Source organism: Homo sapiens, chromosome 12, assembly GCF_000001405.40.
Source record: "Homo sapiens chromosome 12, GRCh38.p14 Primary Assembly".
In the NCBI taxonomy this organism is placed as follows: Eukaryota; Metazoa; Chordata; class Mammalia; order Primates; family Hominidae; genus Homo; species Homo sapiens.
Window position 1 is genome coordinate 8,846,325 of NC_000012.12, and position 17,864 is coordinate 8,864,188.

The 17,864-nt window shown below is 46.0% G+C and overlaps 1 protein-coding gene across 9 annotated transcripts in view; it reads left to right on the forward strand.

Moving 5' to 3' along the window:
* A2ML1 (alpha-2-macroglobulin like 1) overlaps positions 1 to 17,864 on the forward strand; it is a 64,839-nt gene that overhangs the window by 23,704 nt on the left and 23,271 nt on the right. For 4 of the 9 annotated variants that reach the window (XR_001748594.2, NM_144670.6, XM_017018870.2 and 1 more), the window contains 15 exons: positions 1,225 to 1,374; positions 2,396 to 2,590; positions 3,345 to 3,435; positions 3,836 to 3,950; positions 5,460 to 5,688; positions 5,886 to 6,012; positions 7,804 to 7,925; positions 8,456 to 8,507; positions 9,185 to 9,268; positions 10,840 to 11,016; positions 11,183 to 11,264; positions 11,622 to 11,778; positions 14,557 to 14,631; positions 14,811 to 14,973; positions 17,470 to 17,684. Coding sequence is in view for 7 of the 9 variants with exons in the window: in NM_144670.6 (NP_653271.3) it covers positions 1,225 to 1,374; positions 2,396 to 2,590; positions 3,345 to 3,435; positions 3,836 to 3,950; positions 5,460 to 5,688; positions 5,886 to 6,012; positions 7,804 to 7,925; positions 8,456 to 8,507; positions 9,185 to 9,268; positions 10,840 to 11,016; positions 11,183 to 11,264; positions 11,622 to 11,778; positions 14,557 to 14,631; positions 14,811 to 14,973; positions 17,470 to 17,684 (2,034 nt within the window). In the remaining 2 variants the exon portion in view is untranslated. Of the gene's footprint in view, positions 1 to 1,185; positions 1,375 to 2,395; positions 2,591 to 3,344; positions 3,436 to 3,835; positions 3,951 to 5,459; positions 5,689 to 5,885; positions 6,013 to 7,803; positions 7,926 to 8,455; positions 8,508 to 9,184; positions 9,269 to 10,839; positions 11,017 to 11,182; positions 11,265 to 11,621; positions 11,779 to 14,556; positions 14,632 to 14,810; positions 14,974 to 17,469; positions 17,685 to 17,864 lie in introns of all 9 variants that reach the window. The other 5 variants (XR_931275.2, XM_011520566.3, XM_011520567.3 and 2 more) reach the window with 3 other exon arrangements.

The following is a 17,864-nucleotide window of genomic DNA, read 5'->3' on the forward strand; positions in this document are numbered from 1 at the left end:
GTTGACGTTGGATGTTGTATTATATTTATATCTTTAGTGTTTGGGGTTTGTGTTGAAATCCATCTCTCTCCTACTTTTTATTTTAAGAAGTCATGCTGGCTGAGGTGCAGTGGCTCACTCCTGTAATCCCAGTGCTTTGGGAGGCCAAGGCAGAGGGATTTCTTTAGGTCAAGGGTTCAAGACCAGCCTGGACAACATAGCAAGATCCTGTCTGTACAAAAAAATTTTTAATTAGCTGGGTGTGCAGCACTTTGGGAGGCCGAGGTGGGTGGATCACCTGATGCTAGGAGTTCAAGACCAGCCTGGTGAAACCGTGTCTCTACTAAAAATACAAAAATTAGCCAAGCATGGTGGTGGATGCCTGCAATCCCAGCTACTTGGGAGGCTGAGGCAGGAGAATTGCATGAACCCAGGAGACGGAGGTTGCAGTGAGCAAAGAACACACCATTACACTCCAGCCTGAGTGACAGAGTGAGACTCTGTCTCAAAAAAAAAAAAAAAAATTAGTTGAGTGTGGTGATGCATACCTGTAGTCCCAGCTAGTCGGAAGGCTGAAGCAGGTGTATCGCTTGAGCCCAGGAGTTCAAGGCTGCAGAGCGAGACCCTGTCTATTTTTTTTATTTTTTATAGACAGAGCTTTCCTCTTGTTGCCCAGGCTGGAGTGCAATGGTGCGATCTCGGCTCACTGCAACCTCTGCCTCCTGGGTTCAAGTGATTCTCTTGCCTCAGACTCCCGAGTAGCTGGGATTACAAGTATGCACCACCATGCCTGGCTTTTTTTTTTTTTTTTTTTTTTGTATTTTTAGTAGAGACGGGGTTTCACCATGTTAGCCAGGCTGGTCTTGAACTCCTGACCTCAGGTCATCCACCTGCCTTGGCCTCCCAATGTGCTGGGATTACAGGCATGACCCTGTCTCTATTAAAAAAAAAAAAAAAAAAAGCCATACTGGGAAGCCACATGTTCTATATAGTTATTCCACATGTTCTCTCTACTTTTTGTCTTCTAAACTTTCTCTATCCTTCTACTGTGCTGCTCACGTTTCCCAACTCTATCACGGCATACACGTCCTGAAGAGCTAGACTTTACAAAGAAAGATAAGTACAAAAGTGAAAGAATGGGTTGGATGTCATAGCTGGGGCATATTTGCTGATGACCCAAATTATGTTGTTTCCCTTCCTTTCCAGGCTGACCTGATCCCCAAGTTATACCTTTCCCTTCCCCAGGTTTCCCTTGGCTTCTCCCCCTCCCAGCAGCTTCCAGGAGCAGAAGTGGAGCTGCAGCTGCAGGCAGCTCCCGGATCCCTGTGTGCGCTCCGGGCGGTGGATGAGAGTGTCTTACTGCTTAGGCCAGACAGAGAGCTGAGCAACCGCTCTGTGAGTAACTGTCTGCTGACAGAGTGGGAGGAGGGAGTTGATGGAGAAGACAATTAAGAGGTAGGTTTCAGGCAGGGGAGAGAAAGTCTTAGGGAAATAATGCACTGCCATAAGGCGGTAAAAAGGCTGGTGTGAAAATGAAGTTAGAAAGTGTAAGAGGGCTGGGCACGGTGGCTCACGCCTGTAATCCCAGTGCTTTGTGAGGCCGAGGCTGGCAGATCACCTGAGGTCGGGAGTTCGAGACCAGCCTGACCAACATGGAGAAACTCTGTCTCTACTAAAAATCCAGAAAAAAAAAAAAAAAATTAACTGGGCATGGGCCCATGCCTGTAATCCTGGGGAGGCTGAGGCAGGAGAATCACTTGAACCTGGGAGGCGGAGGTTGTATCATTGCCCTCCAGCCTGGGCAACAAGAGCAAAACTCTGTCTCAAAAACAAAAAAAAAAAAACAAAAACAAAAAAAGAAAGGATAAGAGAAAGGCATGGTTAGTATGAATGCAGAGACAAGAAAAGAGAATGAGCCTGTAATCCCAGAACTTTAGGAGACCAAGGCAGGCAGATCACCTGAGGTCTGGGGTTCAAGACCAGCCTGACCAACATGGTGAAACCCTGTCTCTACTAAAAATACAAAAATTAGCCAGGCATGGTGGCGCATGCCTGTAATCCCAACTACTCAGGAGGCTGAGGCAGGAGAATTGCGTGAACCCGGGAGGCAGAGGTTGCAGTGAGCCGAGATCGTCCCACTGCACTTCAATCTGGGCGACAGAGCAAGACTCCGTCTCAAAAAAAAAACAAGAAAGAGAACGAAATAGGGGATAGGATTATGAAAAAATAGGTGAGATAGAGGTTAAAGTTTTAGACAGTGAGAAAGGTAATTATGACAGAATGAATATAAAAATAATTCTGAAGTAATAAAGAGAAATGATACAGGAGTAGTGAACTGAGCACCAGAATCTGAGAGAAGTTTCTCAACTGATATCACTATATCAATGCTTTATTTCCTCTCCCCCTCTTGTCCCAGGTCTATGGGATGTTTCCATTCTGGTATGGTCACTACCCCTATCAAGTGGCTGAGTATGATCAGTGTCCAGTGTCTGGCCCATGGGACTTTCCTCAGCCCCTCATTGACCCAATGCCCCAAGGGCATTCGAGCCAGCGTTCCATTATCTGGAGGCCCTCGTTCTCTGAAGGCACGGACCTTTTCAGCTTTTTCCGGGTAGGTCTTCTTACCCATTTTGTTCTTATGGGAAAGATGGTGGTGGGAATGGGCAAAGGAAAGTTCATATCTAAGAAAGCAGAGAGACTCATATGGGCACTGATGGGAACAAAATCTTGAAAGAAGCTTCTGACGTGTAAGGTCGCCTCTGTTGGCCCTTATGCTTGAAGAAGATGTCCAACCTAGTCTTCCTCTTTTTGTTGTCCTCAAACACTGATTTCCATGAGATCAATCAGGAGGGAAAATTAGAGAAGGTAGACCAGAGGTCTCTTATCATTATTATAAAAAATAATTTGCACCTATTCTATGAGCAGGATTTGGGATGCTGTGTGACCCAAGTCTGACCAGGAGGTCCCTGAGGTCAGGAACTAGGTCTTGTTCATCTTTGTATTCTCTCTAATGCCTGACCCTTCATAAGGCTCATTGTATTTTTGTTGAATTGAGTACGCTGATATGGTCCCTACCCTCAGCATGTTTACAGCGTAAGTCAAATAGTAAGGACATAGCGAATAATATTTGGCAGAACCATTACATGTATGTAATGATGAAATAAGTTTAACTGAAAGCCTTTCATGCTAGCTGGAACAGAAGCCAACCAGCCTCAGTGGCTGAGTTTCAGGTAAGAACACCCAGGTTCACCATTAATTCAAAAAGAATGTTTTGTTTCAACTCTTTGATGGTGGAATTCCTGGGCAGTAGCCCTTGTAGTTGGGGAAGGGACCACCTTAATACTTATTTCTCTGATGCCTATCAGGACGTGGGCCTGAAAATACTGTCCAATGCCAAAATCAAGAAGCCAGTAGATTGCAGTCACAGATCTCCAGAATACAGCACTGCTATGGGTGGTAAGCCACCTCTGTGGTCTGTGGATTCTCTGAGATGTTAACAGTCCTGGAACTCTGCAGATTTCCTCTTGCCTCCTGTTCTTGCACTGAGCCTCTAGCCCGAGAATGCTAATGGGTTGTGGGTCACAGATGCAGGACAGTTTCCCAAGTGTTCTCTCTCTGGGGAGAGCTTTTGAAGCCTGAAGCTTATGTATCCATTCCCCGGCCAAACCTCCTTGGCTATCACTTCCCTCGATGGCCTTTGTGACTAGTTAGTTCCTCTTTGGTCCTTCCTCCTTGCCTCTGACTGGATGTTCTCTGCTTCCCTCTAAATTTCTTTCTAGTAATCCCTCCATCCCAATTTATGTCACAACAAGAAGTCTCCTGTTTCCTAAAGTTTTCGTATTCTCAATTTCATCAGCAGGCGGTGGTCATCCAGAGGCTTTTGAGTCATCAACTCCTTTACATCAAGCAGAGGATTCTCAGGTCCGCCAGTACTTCCCAGAGACCTGGCTCTGGGATCTGTTTCCTATTGGGTAAGTGATGACTCAAAAGTACAGTAAAGGGCCAGGTGCATGGCTCACGCCTGTAATCCCAACACTTTGGGAGGCTTAGGAGGGAGGATCACTTGAGACCAGGAGTTCAAGACCAGCCTGGGCAACATAATGAGCTTCTGTCTCTACAAAAGAAATTAAAAAAATAGCCAGATGGTAGTTGTGTCCTACTTGGAAGGCTGAGGTGGAAGGATCACTTGAGTCTGGGAGGTGGAGGCTGCAGTGAAGCAAGATCACATTGCTTCACTCCTGCTTGGGTGACAGAGCAAAACCCTTCTCAAAATCAACAACGACAACGACAACAACAAACCCAGAAAAAAAACAGTAAGATTCTGCAATGTAGAGCCTGTAGAAAACTCAGAATCAGACGCATTCCTAATGGATCTAAATCTTAAGCAAAGAAAGCTTGATGGGGTGTGGGAATTTATTTATTTTCCGGAATTCTTTTTTTCTTTTTATTTTTAAGACAGAGTCTTGCTCTGTCACCCAGGCTGGAGTGCAGTGGCATGATTTTGGCTCACTGTAGGCCTCAACCTCCTAGGTTCAAGCAATTCTTGTGCCTCAGCCTCCCAAGTAGCTGGGACTATAGGCACATGCCACCACACCTGGCTAAGTTTTGTATTTTTAGTAGAGGCAGGGTTTTGCTATGTTGGCCAGGCTAGTCTTGAACTCCTGGCCTCAAGTGATCCACCCGCCTTGGCCTCCCAAAGTGTTGGGATTACAGGTGTGAGCCACTGCGCCCGGCCTACCTGAATTCTTCATGCATTCATATACAACCACTCAAAACAAATCCACACAATTCCACACTCACACATTGCAGGCCCTGTGTTCTCACTACAGAACCACACACATTTAAAGGTATATATTGACATCAATTTTTGCTCACTGCTTGCATATCCATTTTGACAAGCCCTGAGACCACACATCCTCAGACTCAGAGGGCACCAGCCTCTCTGTCAGATGTGCTTGCACAGAGATGCCCACCCCGACTCCCCACCATAGTCCCCCTCCTCCGTATGAGTGCAGCCTCACTCACACTGAGACTCACCTGTTCAGTTGCCTCTTTACTTCTCCCCATACAATAACAATAACAATTTTACTTCTGCAGATGAATTTGTAGCTTTTTTTTTTTGGACAGGGTCTTGCCCTGTCACCCAGGCTGGAGTGCAGTGGTGCAATCATAGCTCACTGCAGCCTCAAACTCCTGGGCTCAAGCAATCCTCCTGCCTCAGCCTCCTAAGTAGCTGGGACTATAGGCATGCACCACCACACCTGGCTAATTTTTAAATTTTTGGTAGAAATAGGGTCTTGCTATGTTTCCCAGGCTGGCCTCAAACTGCTGGGCTGAAGCTATCTGCTCACCTCAGCCTCTCAAAGAGCTGGGATTACAAGTGTAAGCCAGCACACCCCACCGAATTTGTGGCTTAATTCACAAATGTTCTCCTTGCCCCACGCTACCTCTGCCTCATGTTGGTCCTTGTGTTTTCACAGTAACTCGGGGAAGGAGGCGGTCCACGTCACAGTTCCTGACGCCATCACCGAGTGGAAGGCGATGAGTTTCTGCACTTCCCAGTCAAGAGGCTTCGGGCTTTCACCCACTGTTGGACTAACTGCTTTCAAGCCGTTCTTTGTTGACCTGACTCTCCCTTACTCAGTAGTCCGTGGGGAATCCTTTCGTCTTACTGCCACCATCTTCAATTACCTAAAGGATTGCATCAGGGTGAGAGCTGGGGATACAGGAATCAGGTGTCAGCCCTGGAATCACACCTCCCCCATAAGTTTGTCTCTAAATTGGAAGCATCCCAATTTTCCCTGGGAAAGAGAGGAGATGTCGGCGTCTCAGCCCCCAGGTTTCCCCAGGCCTCTATGCACTACCTCCTTTGTTTGTACCCTTTGTCTCTTAAACATCCTCCGTAGGTTCAGACTGACCTGGCTAAATCGCATGAGTACCAGCTAGAATCATGGGCAGATTCTCAGACCTCCAGTTGTCTCTGTGCTGATGACGCAAAAACCCACCACTGGAACATCACAGCTGTCAAATTGGGTAAGAGAGGGAAGTGGTAGACGGGCGAGGAAAGCCAGCAGCAGAAGACCAGTGACTGAGCACTCAGTCTTTTCCTCTGCCACATCTGCTTTGCTTCCTCCTCCATTTTCCACTATTTTTCTCCCTCCTAAGGCTGTTATAAGTCAATACACAAACACTCTTTGATAGGTGACCAAACAAATTTGTTCAAACCGGAATATTTTGAGTGTGAAAGGGAGAGCTTTTAATATTTATAGCTGGACAAGGAATACATGGTCATGTAACTAATCAAGGACTTACTATAAGAGTCCCTGGGCCAGGCACTATTCTAACTGCTTTACATATATTAACTCATTAAATTGATTGACTAATTAATTTTTATTTTATTTATTTATTTTTGAGAGGAAGTCTCGCTCTGTTGCGCAGGCTGGAGTGCAGTGGTGCAATCTGTGCTTACTGCAACCTCCACCTCCTGGGTTCAAGTGATTCTCCTGCCAAGCCTCCCAAGTAGCTAGGATTACAGTCGCGTGCCACCCTACCCGGCTAATTTTTGTACTTTTAGTAGAGGTGGGGTTTTGCCATGTTGGCCAGGCTGGTCTCAAACTCCTGACCTCAGGTGACCTGCCTGCCTCGGCCTCCCAAAGTGCTGGGATTACAGGCGTGAGCCGCTGCGCCTGGCCTTTTATTTTTTTTTAGAGAGACAAGATCTTACTCTGTCACCTAAGCTGGAGTACAGTGGTGTGGTCATTGCTCACTGCAGCCTCAACCTCCCAGGCTCAAGCGATCCTCTCACCTAGGCCTCCGGAGTAGCTGGGACTATAGGCTCATGCCACCACCATGCCTGGCTAATTCAGTTGGCAGAGAAGCGGTCTTGCTCTGTTGCCCAGGCTGTTCTCAAACTCCTGGGTTCAAGTGATTCTCCCGCCTCACCCTTCCAAAGTACTGGGATTACAAGAATGAGTCACTGCACCTTTAACTTGTTTAATCCTCACCCCCAACCCTATGGGATGTCAGTCACTCATAGATTAAATCCTTGCAACTCAAAGTTTGATTTTCATATGTATGAGTTATCTCATGTTGCTTGACAAATTATTGTAAAACTTAAGTGTCATAAAAGGACAAACATTATCAAACAGATTCTATGGGTCATTAATCTGGGTGCAGCTTAGCTGGGTACCTCTGGCTCAAGGTATCTCATGAGGTTGCAATCAAGCTGTCAGTCAGGACTCTGGTTTCATCTGAAGACTCGACTAGGAGAGGATTGATTTTTCAAGCTCATCCCAAAGTCTCTGATCCTTACAGGCTGCTAGACTGAAGGACACAGTTCTTGACCTCAGCTTTTGGCTAGGGGCCTCACTCAGTATCTCATCACATGAATCTCTCTGCTGGGCTGCCTCATCACACAACAGCTGTCTTCCCCAGAGCAAGCAGTTTGAGAAAAGGGGTGCACCCAAGATGGAAGCTGCAGTCTTTTTTGTAACCTAATCCCAGAAGAGTCATTACTTTCACCCTGTTCTCTTTAACAGAAGCGAGTCACTCAATCCAGCTCACACTCAATGGATGTAAATATCAGGATGCAGGGATCTCTGAGGGCCCTTAGAGGTTACCTACCACACTGGACTAGCCTCTCTGGCATCACCTGGGAGCTTGTTAGAAATGCAGAATATGGGCCCCACCCCAGGTCTATGGCAGCAGAGTTTGCACTGTTGCAAGATCCCCATTAAAGTTTCAGAAATGCTGATCCAAATGGGAATGGACCTCACTGGTACCTCTGGCAATAGGGCTAATGGCTTCCCTTCTTCTTTCTCTCAGGTCACATTAACTTTACTATTAGTACAAAGATTCTGGACAGCAATGAACCATGTGGGGGCCAGAAGGGGTTTGTTCCCCAAAAGGGCCGAAGTGACACGCTCATCAAGCCAGTTCTCGTCAAAGTGAGTTTTCTTCAGAGGTAGAGACAGCAACCAACCGAGGGATGCTCAGCATCTCGTCTTGCTGTGAGTTAGTCTCTCACAGCAACCATACTCCAGTCCAACCAGGCAGCTTCAACTTTCTCCTTCCCTGGCCCCTTGAACATTTGCCTAATCCACACCCACGGCCTATGAAAGCACCTAAAACCCGGCACCTCATAGGCACTCAACAAATGTTAGTTTACCTAATTAAAATGTCTGTCTTCATCAATAGCTGCCTTTTTCGTCCCATCATGAAGCCCATTGTCAATCTTGCCTCTTAGAAGTTGCCTAAATGTGTCTTTGGCTCTAGCACTTGCCCAGAAAGAACTTTACAGAAAGGGCCCATCCTTGGGTTGACGCAGAGTTCTTCTGAGCTTCAGTGAGAAGCTCTTGTCTGCAGTTCTGAGGGAAGCCCTGGGGGCACAGCGAGGGGCCTCCCTTCCCTTTCCTTTAGTGCCATCCCTCCTGATGTTCATCTTTGTTGTTTTTATCTGTGTCTCTCTTCATCGCAGCCTGAGGGAGTCCTGGTGGAGAAGACACACAGCTCATTGCTGTGCCCAAAAGGTGGGTGGACTCAGAGCAGGATTGGTGGTGAGAATTCCCTTAGAGGGCAGGAGATTTTCTTTTCATTTTTTTTTTTTTTTTGAGACGGAGTCTCGCTCCGTCGTCCAGGCTGGATTGCAGTGGCACGATTTCAGCTCATTGCAACCTCTGCCTCCCGGGTTCAAGTGATTCTACTGCCTTAGTCTCCTGAGTAGCTGGGACTACAGGTACATGCCACCATGCCTGGCTAATTTTTGTATTTTTAGTAGAGATGGGGTTTCACCATATTGGCCAGGCTGGTCTCGAACTCCTGACCTTGTGATCCTCCTGCCTTGGCCTCCCAAAGTGCTGGGATTACAGGCGTGAGCCACTGCACCCGGCAGCAGGAGATTTTCATAGGCAAAAGGAGGAATGCATAGTACCAGAAGGAATAGGAGAGTCTGAAGTGCCATTCCTCATGGGGCTGATTAACTGGGAGGCAGGAGGAAGAAGAGAAAGTGTGCAGCACGATGATGACTCTCTGTGGAATTTATTTTCAGCAAGATCACTATGAATAGTACCCAGTGCTTTCTGCATCCCAGAGAAAGCACCGAGTACAGAAATCCCTGGATTATAGAAAGTTCTTCTAAAATTTTGTCTTGAGAACCCCTGCCATTCCCCATCTTCTATTGTGTCACCTTTTTTTCTGCATCTCACAGGAAAGGTGGCATCTGAATCTGTCTCCCTGGAGCTCCCAGTGGACATTGTTCCTGACTCGACCAAGGCTTATGTTACGGTTCTGGGTAAGCAGTTAGAGATTCTTGACTCAGAAAGGAAAAGGCGAATGGAGGCTGCAAAGGTGTGGAGTGGGGCGGGACATACGGACCTATCCGGAGAGTGTAACTAATAACAAGTGATGAAGGAAAAAGAGCGTATTTTATATAGGAGGGAAATACAGTGTAGGCAACAGTACAGATGGGATTAGACTTGTACTCTAGTTAAAAATGGAAGAGAGTCAGGGTAGGAAGAAGGTAAGGTCGCTGATGCTTGATTTTAGGTTTAGACAGTCTATAAATTGGGTGAAGGGAAAACAGAATATTTGCAGCAACCATTTTCAAAACTGAGGAATTTGGGTATAGTTTAGGGAAGATACAACCATATTTACAATAGGCAGCACACTTACTGTTTGGGGCAAGGGAGGAAGTGGGTTGAAAAGCATGAACGTAGAAATCATATCTAACCTGTCATTTAATAGCCATGTGACCCTGAACAAGTTAGTGAACAGTTCTGGGCCTTCTTTCCTCTTCTGTAAAACAGTGATAATAACCTACCTCTCAGACTGGTGTAAAGATTAAATGCAATATAAAGTCCCCAGCACAATATCTAGCATGTAGTAGGAGCCCTATGAATGTTAGGCTCTTTCTTTACTCCCTCACCCTCTATTGAGATCCTTTGCAGTCACAGTGTCTCTGTTTTGTCTATTTTATTCGTAAGTCTGACATAGCACTTATCTTATTGTATTAGAGTTCACTGTCTATATCTGTCTTCCACACTGTGTTGGGGGCTCCTGAAGAGGAAGGGCCACATCTTTTTCTTTTGTGTTCCTAGTACAGTTCCTGCAACATAGTTGACATTCAGGACACATTTATAGATTGAATTGAGCTTGTTGGCTACAATGCAGATGTTAATGAGTCACTTATGTCAGGTTCACTGGCTTGGGAAGTATATGAAGGGGTCAGTGACAACTTGGAAAAGAGTGTCAGAACTGTGTTTTAGAGAAACTTGGTGATTTGGAGGGTGAGGAACGTACATGCAGTGGTAGAGGAGCTTAAGAGATTGATCCTAAGTGTTATAAGTTTTGTCACATCACTCATCAGCTCAGTGACATGTCTTCTTAAAAGCCCTGAACTCTCTTAGATAGCTTATGTGCCTCTCCGTGTCCCCTAGCACCTCGTACATATCCAGTATGACATTGTAGTACTGTATTAAAATTGTTTATAATGAATAAAAATTGTAATGTGTTGTAATGGTTTGCTCCTCTGTGAGTTTTTTTGAGGGTAGAGACCGAGTTTGATTTACTGTGGTCTTCCCAGGACACACAGTAGGTACTTTTTTTTTTTTTTTTTTTGTATTTTTAGTAGAGACAGGGTTTGTCCATGTTGGTCAGGCTGGTCTCGAACTCCTGACCTCAGGTGATCCACCCTCCTCGGCCTCCCATACTGCTGGAATTACAGGCGTGAGCCACCACGCCCGGCCCATAGTAGGTACTTATTAAATGATAGCTAATACGTGTTTGTTCAGTGAATGATGATAACTCTTAGAGGGTCCCTTCTTCTCTGTACCCCTACCTTCTCTCTCTCCTTTTGGATCCCAGGAGACATTATGGGCACAGCCCTGCAGAACCTGGATGGTCTGGTGCAGATGCCCAGTGGCTGTGGCGAGCAGAACATGGTCTTGTTTGCTCCCATCATCTATGTCTTGCAGTACCTGGAGAAGGCAGGGCTGCTGACGGAGGAGATCAGGTCTCGGGCAGTGGGTTTCCTGGAAATAGGTAAGTTGGTTCAGTCTTTCTTTCTTGAACACTCTCCTCCACTAGGCCCTATGACAGATTGATGATACAGGGAATTCCAGCCCCTCAAGTGTCCCATATCCTTGAACGGCATGGGGGTGTTTTCTGAAGTTGTCGCTGTGATCTAAAACCACATTTGGCTTCCCAGGGTACCAGAAGGAGCTGATGTACAAACACAGCAATGGCTCATACAGTGCCTTTGGGGAGCGAGATGGAAATGGAAACACATGGTAATATCACCCAATTCCCAATGAGTTCTGTACTCCAGAGCATAATTCCTGAGCCCTCTGGAACTATTCCACTACCTCTCCCCTTAACCCCTTTCCTTCTTGCACTCAGTCTTCTACCTCTTTAATACTGTTTATTTCACCCTCATGGATGGTCAAGTCCCTCGATCTTCCTGAGCTTGTGCCTCCCCTGTTCTTGTCCTCATTGGTGCCCATTAATGCCTCTCTTTTCTAGGCCTGCTATGGCATATGTTCCCTCAGCTCCCCTTCTGGAAGTATACACCCAAATAAATGAAGAAATGATTGCACCCTCACCTGGAAATTCCTCTTCATGCCATATTTTCCTCTTTACCCATGTAGGCTGACAGCGTTTGTCACAAAATGCTTTGGCCAAGCTCAGAAATTCATCTTCATTGATCCCAAGAACATCCAGGATGCTCTCAAGTGGATGGCAGGAAACCAGCTCCCCAGTGGCTGCTATGCCAACGTGGGAAATCTCCTTCACACAGCTATGAAGGTGCGGATCTGTCCAGGAGCCTGCAGCCAACCACTGTCTCGAAGGACCCCACACCTCTGACCGAGTAGAAGCAAAAGAGCACTGGCCTGGGAATCAGTTTTCTCCTGATCTCCACTGTGGCTCTGGGTGACCGTGATCAAAATGCTTAGCTGGTCTGGGCCTCAGTTTTCATGTCTGTAGAATGAGAATACAGATGAAGCCTGGGTGCAGTGGCTCATGCCTGTAATCCCAGCACTTTGGGAGGCCGAGGCGGGCAGATCGTTTGGGCCCAGGAGTTTGAGACCACCCTGGGCAACATGGTGAAACCCCATCTCTACAAAAAAAATATGAAAAATTAATCAGGCTTGTTAGTGCATGCCTGTAGTCCCAGCTACTTGGGTGGTTGAGGTTGGAGGATCACTTGAACCCAGGAGGTCAAGCCTGCAGTGAGCCGTGATTGCACCACTGCACCCCAACCTGGGTGACCGAGTGAGACCCTGCCTCAAAAAGAAAAAGAGAATGTGGACTGGAACATGGTTCTCAAAGCATAGTTCCCAGATCAGGAGCATTGGCATCACATGGGAACTTGTTGGAAACGCAGATTCTGACTCCCAGCCCACACCTACTGAATGAGAAACTCTGGGAGGGTGGGCCAGAAATTTGTGTTTTGACAAGCCCTCCTGATTATTCTGATACACACTGAAATTTGATACTACTGGACTAAAAGATCTCTGGGCCTCTTACTGTGTCACCAAATCCATCTGGGAAAGCCATTTCCTGTGGTGAGGACTAGTAGGCAGCCCAACGTCTTTTGTAAGAAGTTTACTCTATTGGGCACTATTCTAGGCACGTGGTTTATTTGATATTATTTCATGTTTACAACAAATCAATGAGCTAGGTATTGGTATGCCATTATTAATCCCATTTTACAGATGAAGAAACTAAGCCATGGAGACTAAGTAAATTGCCCAAGGTGCATGCTAATAAGTGGCAGGACTGAGATTTGAACCAGGCAGTTGCACTCCAGAGGCACTGCTTTCTTCTGTTCACTACCTTGTCTGTACCTGTCCCAAGCAGAGGGCGAGGCGTAGATCCTGCAGGATAACTTGTTCAATTCAGGACACACTCAGTGCAAGAAAGACTTGTATAAACTTTTCTAGAGAGATCACTTACATTGCTATTCCAGGGCAAGGATTAAAAATCTTGAGTGTTAAAAAAAAAATCTATTTATAGGATTCATTAGTCTTCCTCTGCAGGATCTTATTAGTCTCCCCTAAGTTTTTGTCTTCTTCTTCTCTTATACACTGTATGAAATATGCGTGGGGGCCAGGCGCAGTGGCTCATGCTTGTAATCCCAGCATTCTGGGAGGCTGAGGCGAGTGGATCATGAGGTCAGGAATTAGAGACCAGTCTGAAACCCTGTCTCTACTAAGATAAAGGACTTGACTAGAGCAAGATCTCAGAGGTATTCTTCCTTCTTTCCCTTTTTTTTCTTTTCTTTTTTTCTTGAGACAAGAGTCTTACTCTGTTGTACAGGCTGGAGTGTAGTTGCGCAATCCCAGCTCACTGCAACCTCTACCTCCTGGGTTCAAGTGATCTCAGCCTCCTGAGCAGCTGGGACTACAGGCATGTGCCACCATGCCTGGCTACTTTTTGTATTTTTAGTAGAGATGGGGTTTCACCATGTTTGGCCAGGCTGGTCTTGAACTCCTGGCCTCAAGTGATCCACCCGCCTTGACCTCCCAAAGTGCTGGGATTACAAGCGTGACCTATGCGTGCCCAGCCTCTTCCTACTTTCTTTTGAGAGCAGGCCAGTCCATTGAGAAATCCATCCTCTGTGTAGCCAAGGTTAGTGGTGTGGCACATGAGCTCCAGAGTTAAATGTCCTGGGTTCAAATTCCAGTCCTGCTGCAGATGAGCCATGTAACCGTGAGCAAGCTATTTAATCTTTTTATTTATTTACTTATTCATTTTTTTGAGACAGGGTCTCACTCTGTCACCCAGGCTGAAGTGCAGTGGCACGATCATGGCTCACTGCAGCCTTGACCTCCCCGGGCTCAGATGATCCTCCTACTTTAGCTTCCTGAATAGCTGGGACCACGGATCCACGTGCCACTACACCTGGCTAATTTTTGCAGGTTTTGTAGAGTTGGGGTTTTACCGTGTTGCCCAGGCTGGCCTCAAACTCCTGAGCTCAAGCGATCCTCCCCACCGACTTGGCCTCAAGCTGGGATAATAGGCATAAACCACTGTGCGTGACCACAAGCTATTTAATCTTGTTAAGTGTTTGTTTTCTTATTTATAGAATGAGGATAATAATTTGAGTAGATATTTTTAAAAATTTGCTTAGCTCTTTCTGGGAAAGGCGATAAGCAGGGAAGGTCTCACCTAATCTCTGCTGGAGAAGGGCTGGGTATTGTGCTGCTTGAGGGGAGCTGCATGTGAGGAGGCTCAGATGCGGTGATGCGGCAGATTCTCTCCTTATTCCTCCCTTCTTTAAAGCTCTTACCCTTCCTAACTCCTTCTCTTGGGTTTCTTAAATACCCACTCAGCTGAAGTCCACATGCTGCCTCCTGCAGGCTGTTTAAGGCTGTGCAGTTATGAAGTCCAAACTGTTCCCTCTTTGTGTGTCCTGGAGGCTTGGAGCTGCAGAAAGCCTGTGGAAAAAAGAGCTTTCTTTTCTTTTTTCTTTTTAAAAATTATTCATCTATTCAGAGGGGAGGCTGTTTTGCAATCTGCACATAATTCTTGCAGCTGCTGCCTGCTGCCCTGACTCACTGCCTCCCTGTTTGCCTCTAGGGTGGTGTTGATGATGAGGTCTCCTTGACTGCGTATGTCACAGCTGCATTGCTGGAGATGGGAAAGGATGTAGATGTAAGTTCTCCTGGCTCCTGCTCTTGATACCCTCCTTCTCATGCGTATTCCTAGAGACATTCACCCATCTTTGTCTCTAGTCACCCTTTTAAGGTCAAGAAGGATAAGATGATTTCCTGATTACTTGCCATTTTTAAAGGAATGCCTTATAAGTTATAGTCTTCATCTTCACTTTTTAGGACCCAATGGTGAGTCAGGGTCTACGGTGTCTCAAGAATTCGGCCACCTCCACGACCAACCTCTACACACAGGCCCTGTTGGCTTACATTTTCTCCCTGGCTGGGGAAATGGACATCAGAAACATTCTCCTTAAACAGTTAGATCAACAGGCTATCATCTCAGGTATGTTGGTCCTGTTGAGAGTTCTTTGAAATTGTGAACATAAGCTGTGAGTTATCTATAATCTCCCTAGTAACCTCTGTCCCACACATGTACTCTAGGATTCATTTTAGTAACAGTTATTAAGTCATCAAATTATTGTTGGGAGGTTTGTGAGAAACACACGCAAGTGCTCAAAGGGCATTTTTATACTTTTTTTTCTTTTCTTTTTGAGACGGAGTCTTGCTCTGTTGCCCAGGCTGGAGTGCAGTGGCGTGATCTCGGCTCACTCCAAGTTCCGCCTCCCGGGTTCACGCCATTCTCCTGCCTCAGCCTCCCCAGTAGCTGGGACTACAGGCGCCCACCACCACGCCCGGCGAATTTTTTGTATTTTTAGTAGAGACGGGGTTTCACCGTGTTAGCCAGGATGGTCTCGATCTCCTGACCTCATGATCCACCCGCCTCGGCCTCCCAAAGTGCTGGTATTACAGGCATGAGCCACCACGCCCGAGTTTCTCTCTTCTTGCCCAAGCTGGAGTGCAATGGCGTGATCTCAGCTCACTGCAACCTCTGCCTCCCAGGATCAAGCAACTCTCCTGCCTCAGCCTCCCGAGTAGATGGGATTACAGGTGTGTGCCATCATGCACAGCTAATTTTTGTATTTTTAGTAGAGAAGGGGTTTCGCCCTGTTGACCAGGGTGGTCTCGAATTCTTGACCTCAGGTGATCCACCTGCCTCGGCCTCCCAAAGTGCTGGGATTACAGGCGTGAGCCACCATGCCTGGCCACATTTTTATACTTTTAATGTGAAGAGAAACTACATTGAAGAAGCTAGTCGGAAAATATATTGGCATTGTGGAATCACCCTTTTGGAGATCTTTGAAAGTGCTTTGATGTAGGACCACTTTAAATATTTTTTAAATTTTTTATTTTACTTTTTATTTTTTTGAGACGGTGTCTTGCTCTGTCACCCAGGCTGGAGTGCAGTGGTGCAATCTTGGCTCACTGCAACCTTTGCCTCCTGGGTTCAAGTGATTCTCCTGCCTCAGCCTCCCGAGTAGCTGGGATTACAGGTGCCCGCCACCACACTGGCTAATCTTTGTATTTTTAGTAGAGAGGGGGTTTCACCATGTTGGCCAGGCTGGTCTCAGAATCCTGACCTCAAGTGATCCGCCCCTCTTGGTCTTCCAAAGTGCTGAATTACAAGCGTGAGCCATTGCACCTGGCCTGGACCACTTTAAATATATTTAGAATACTATTTGAAGTATGACAGATCTTGTAAATAAAATTTTAATGCATTTCATTTATCTGGCTGTGTATTTAAAATTATTCTTCCAGGCAGAAGTGCAGTCTCAGCCTTCATTTATATGAGCGTCATGGCTGAGCTGTCCTCTCACAGGGGGTCAGGTAGTTTTTTCTCTTGTGTCTAAGCAACTCCAGTCATGAAATGTGTGTCCGAGACAATGGGTTAAATACACCTGTTCCACCGTGTATTGGTTTATTGTGATGATCTCTTTTCCATTATCTTGTATTGCAAGCTCACGTTTCCTGTTACGTTCTTCCAATTAGATTGCCCTTCTGTGGTTACTTATTATCTCTAAAATTCTGTTTAATTAGTCTTCTAACGTACAGTCTTCTCATTTCTTATTTATTTTTCTTCAAGTTATCCATTATCTGTCATCTTGGCTGTCACAGAGGTTTCTTTTGGTCTCATTCTATTGGACTGCCTTCTAAGCATGTTTCATATAGTTGGCCTCATTAGCATTTCTTCATGGTTTCTCAGAATTCTTTCATATACTCTGCCATTTTTATTCTACTTAAAATGTTAAATCTTTTTTTTTTTTTTGAGACTGGGTTTCGCTCTTGTTTTGTTGCCCAGGTTGGAGTGCATTGGCGTGATCTCAGTTCACCGCAACCTCCACCTCCCGGGTTCAAATGATTCTCCTGCCTCAGCCTCCCAAGTAGCTGGGATTAGAGGCACGCGCCACCACGCCTGGCTAATTTTGTATTTTTAGTAGAGTTAGGGTTTCTCCATGTTGGTCAGGCTGGTCTCAAACTCCCGACCTCAGGTGATCCACCCGCCTCGGCCTCCCAAAGTGCTGGATTACAGGTGTGAGCCACCGCACCCGGCCTAAATCTTTGATTAAATGAAATAAATGCTGAAAAATTCATAAAACTGTAAGCAAACAAAAATTGCCCCCAAACACAGAGATTCTTATAAGAAGCTTCTATTTACCTATTTCCATTAGCATCAAAACTGATAAATTAACAAGGGTGGTTTTCATGTAATTGCTGGAGGCAGGAACATTTATCGATGCTTCTAGCTTTACACACAGGCACGCACATGCATCCTTGCATTTACATCAAGGTCAATTAATCAGCTAAATCTAAGAAATTTTTTTTCTACTCTGTTTAATTCTCAGTTGGTACTTACTCTGCTCTAAGATGCTGCATTTACAAAGTGAATGTGGGAAAGCCAGTTCCTTCTAAGGACATCCTAGTTATGTTTCTTTTTCCATAGGAGAATCCATTTACTGGAGCCAGAAACCTACTCCATCATCGAACGCCAGCCCTTGGTCTGAGCCTGCGGCTGTAGATGTGGAACTCACAGCATATGCATTGTTGGCCCAGCTTACCAAGCCCAGCCTGACTCAAAAGGAGATAGCGAAGGCCACTAGCATAGTGGCTTGGTTGGCCAAGCAACACAATGCATATGGGGGCTTCTCTTCTACTCAGGTAAACAGCCTGTTCTCCCACTGCCACTTATCAGGTAGAATTAGATCTTGTGTGGAGATAGAGGAAAACATATTGTCCTTGCCTTCTCGGTCCAGGGGCTTAGAGAGAGGAAAAGCCTGTGAACAATATATGGAAGTATTCATAAAATGGGTTATAAGAGCACATTAATAGTACCAGATG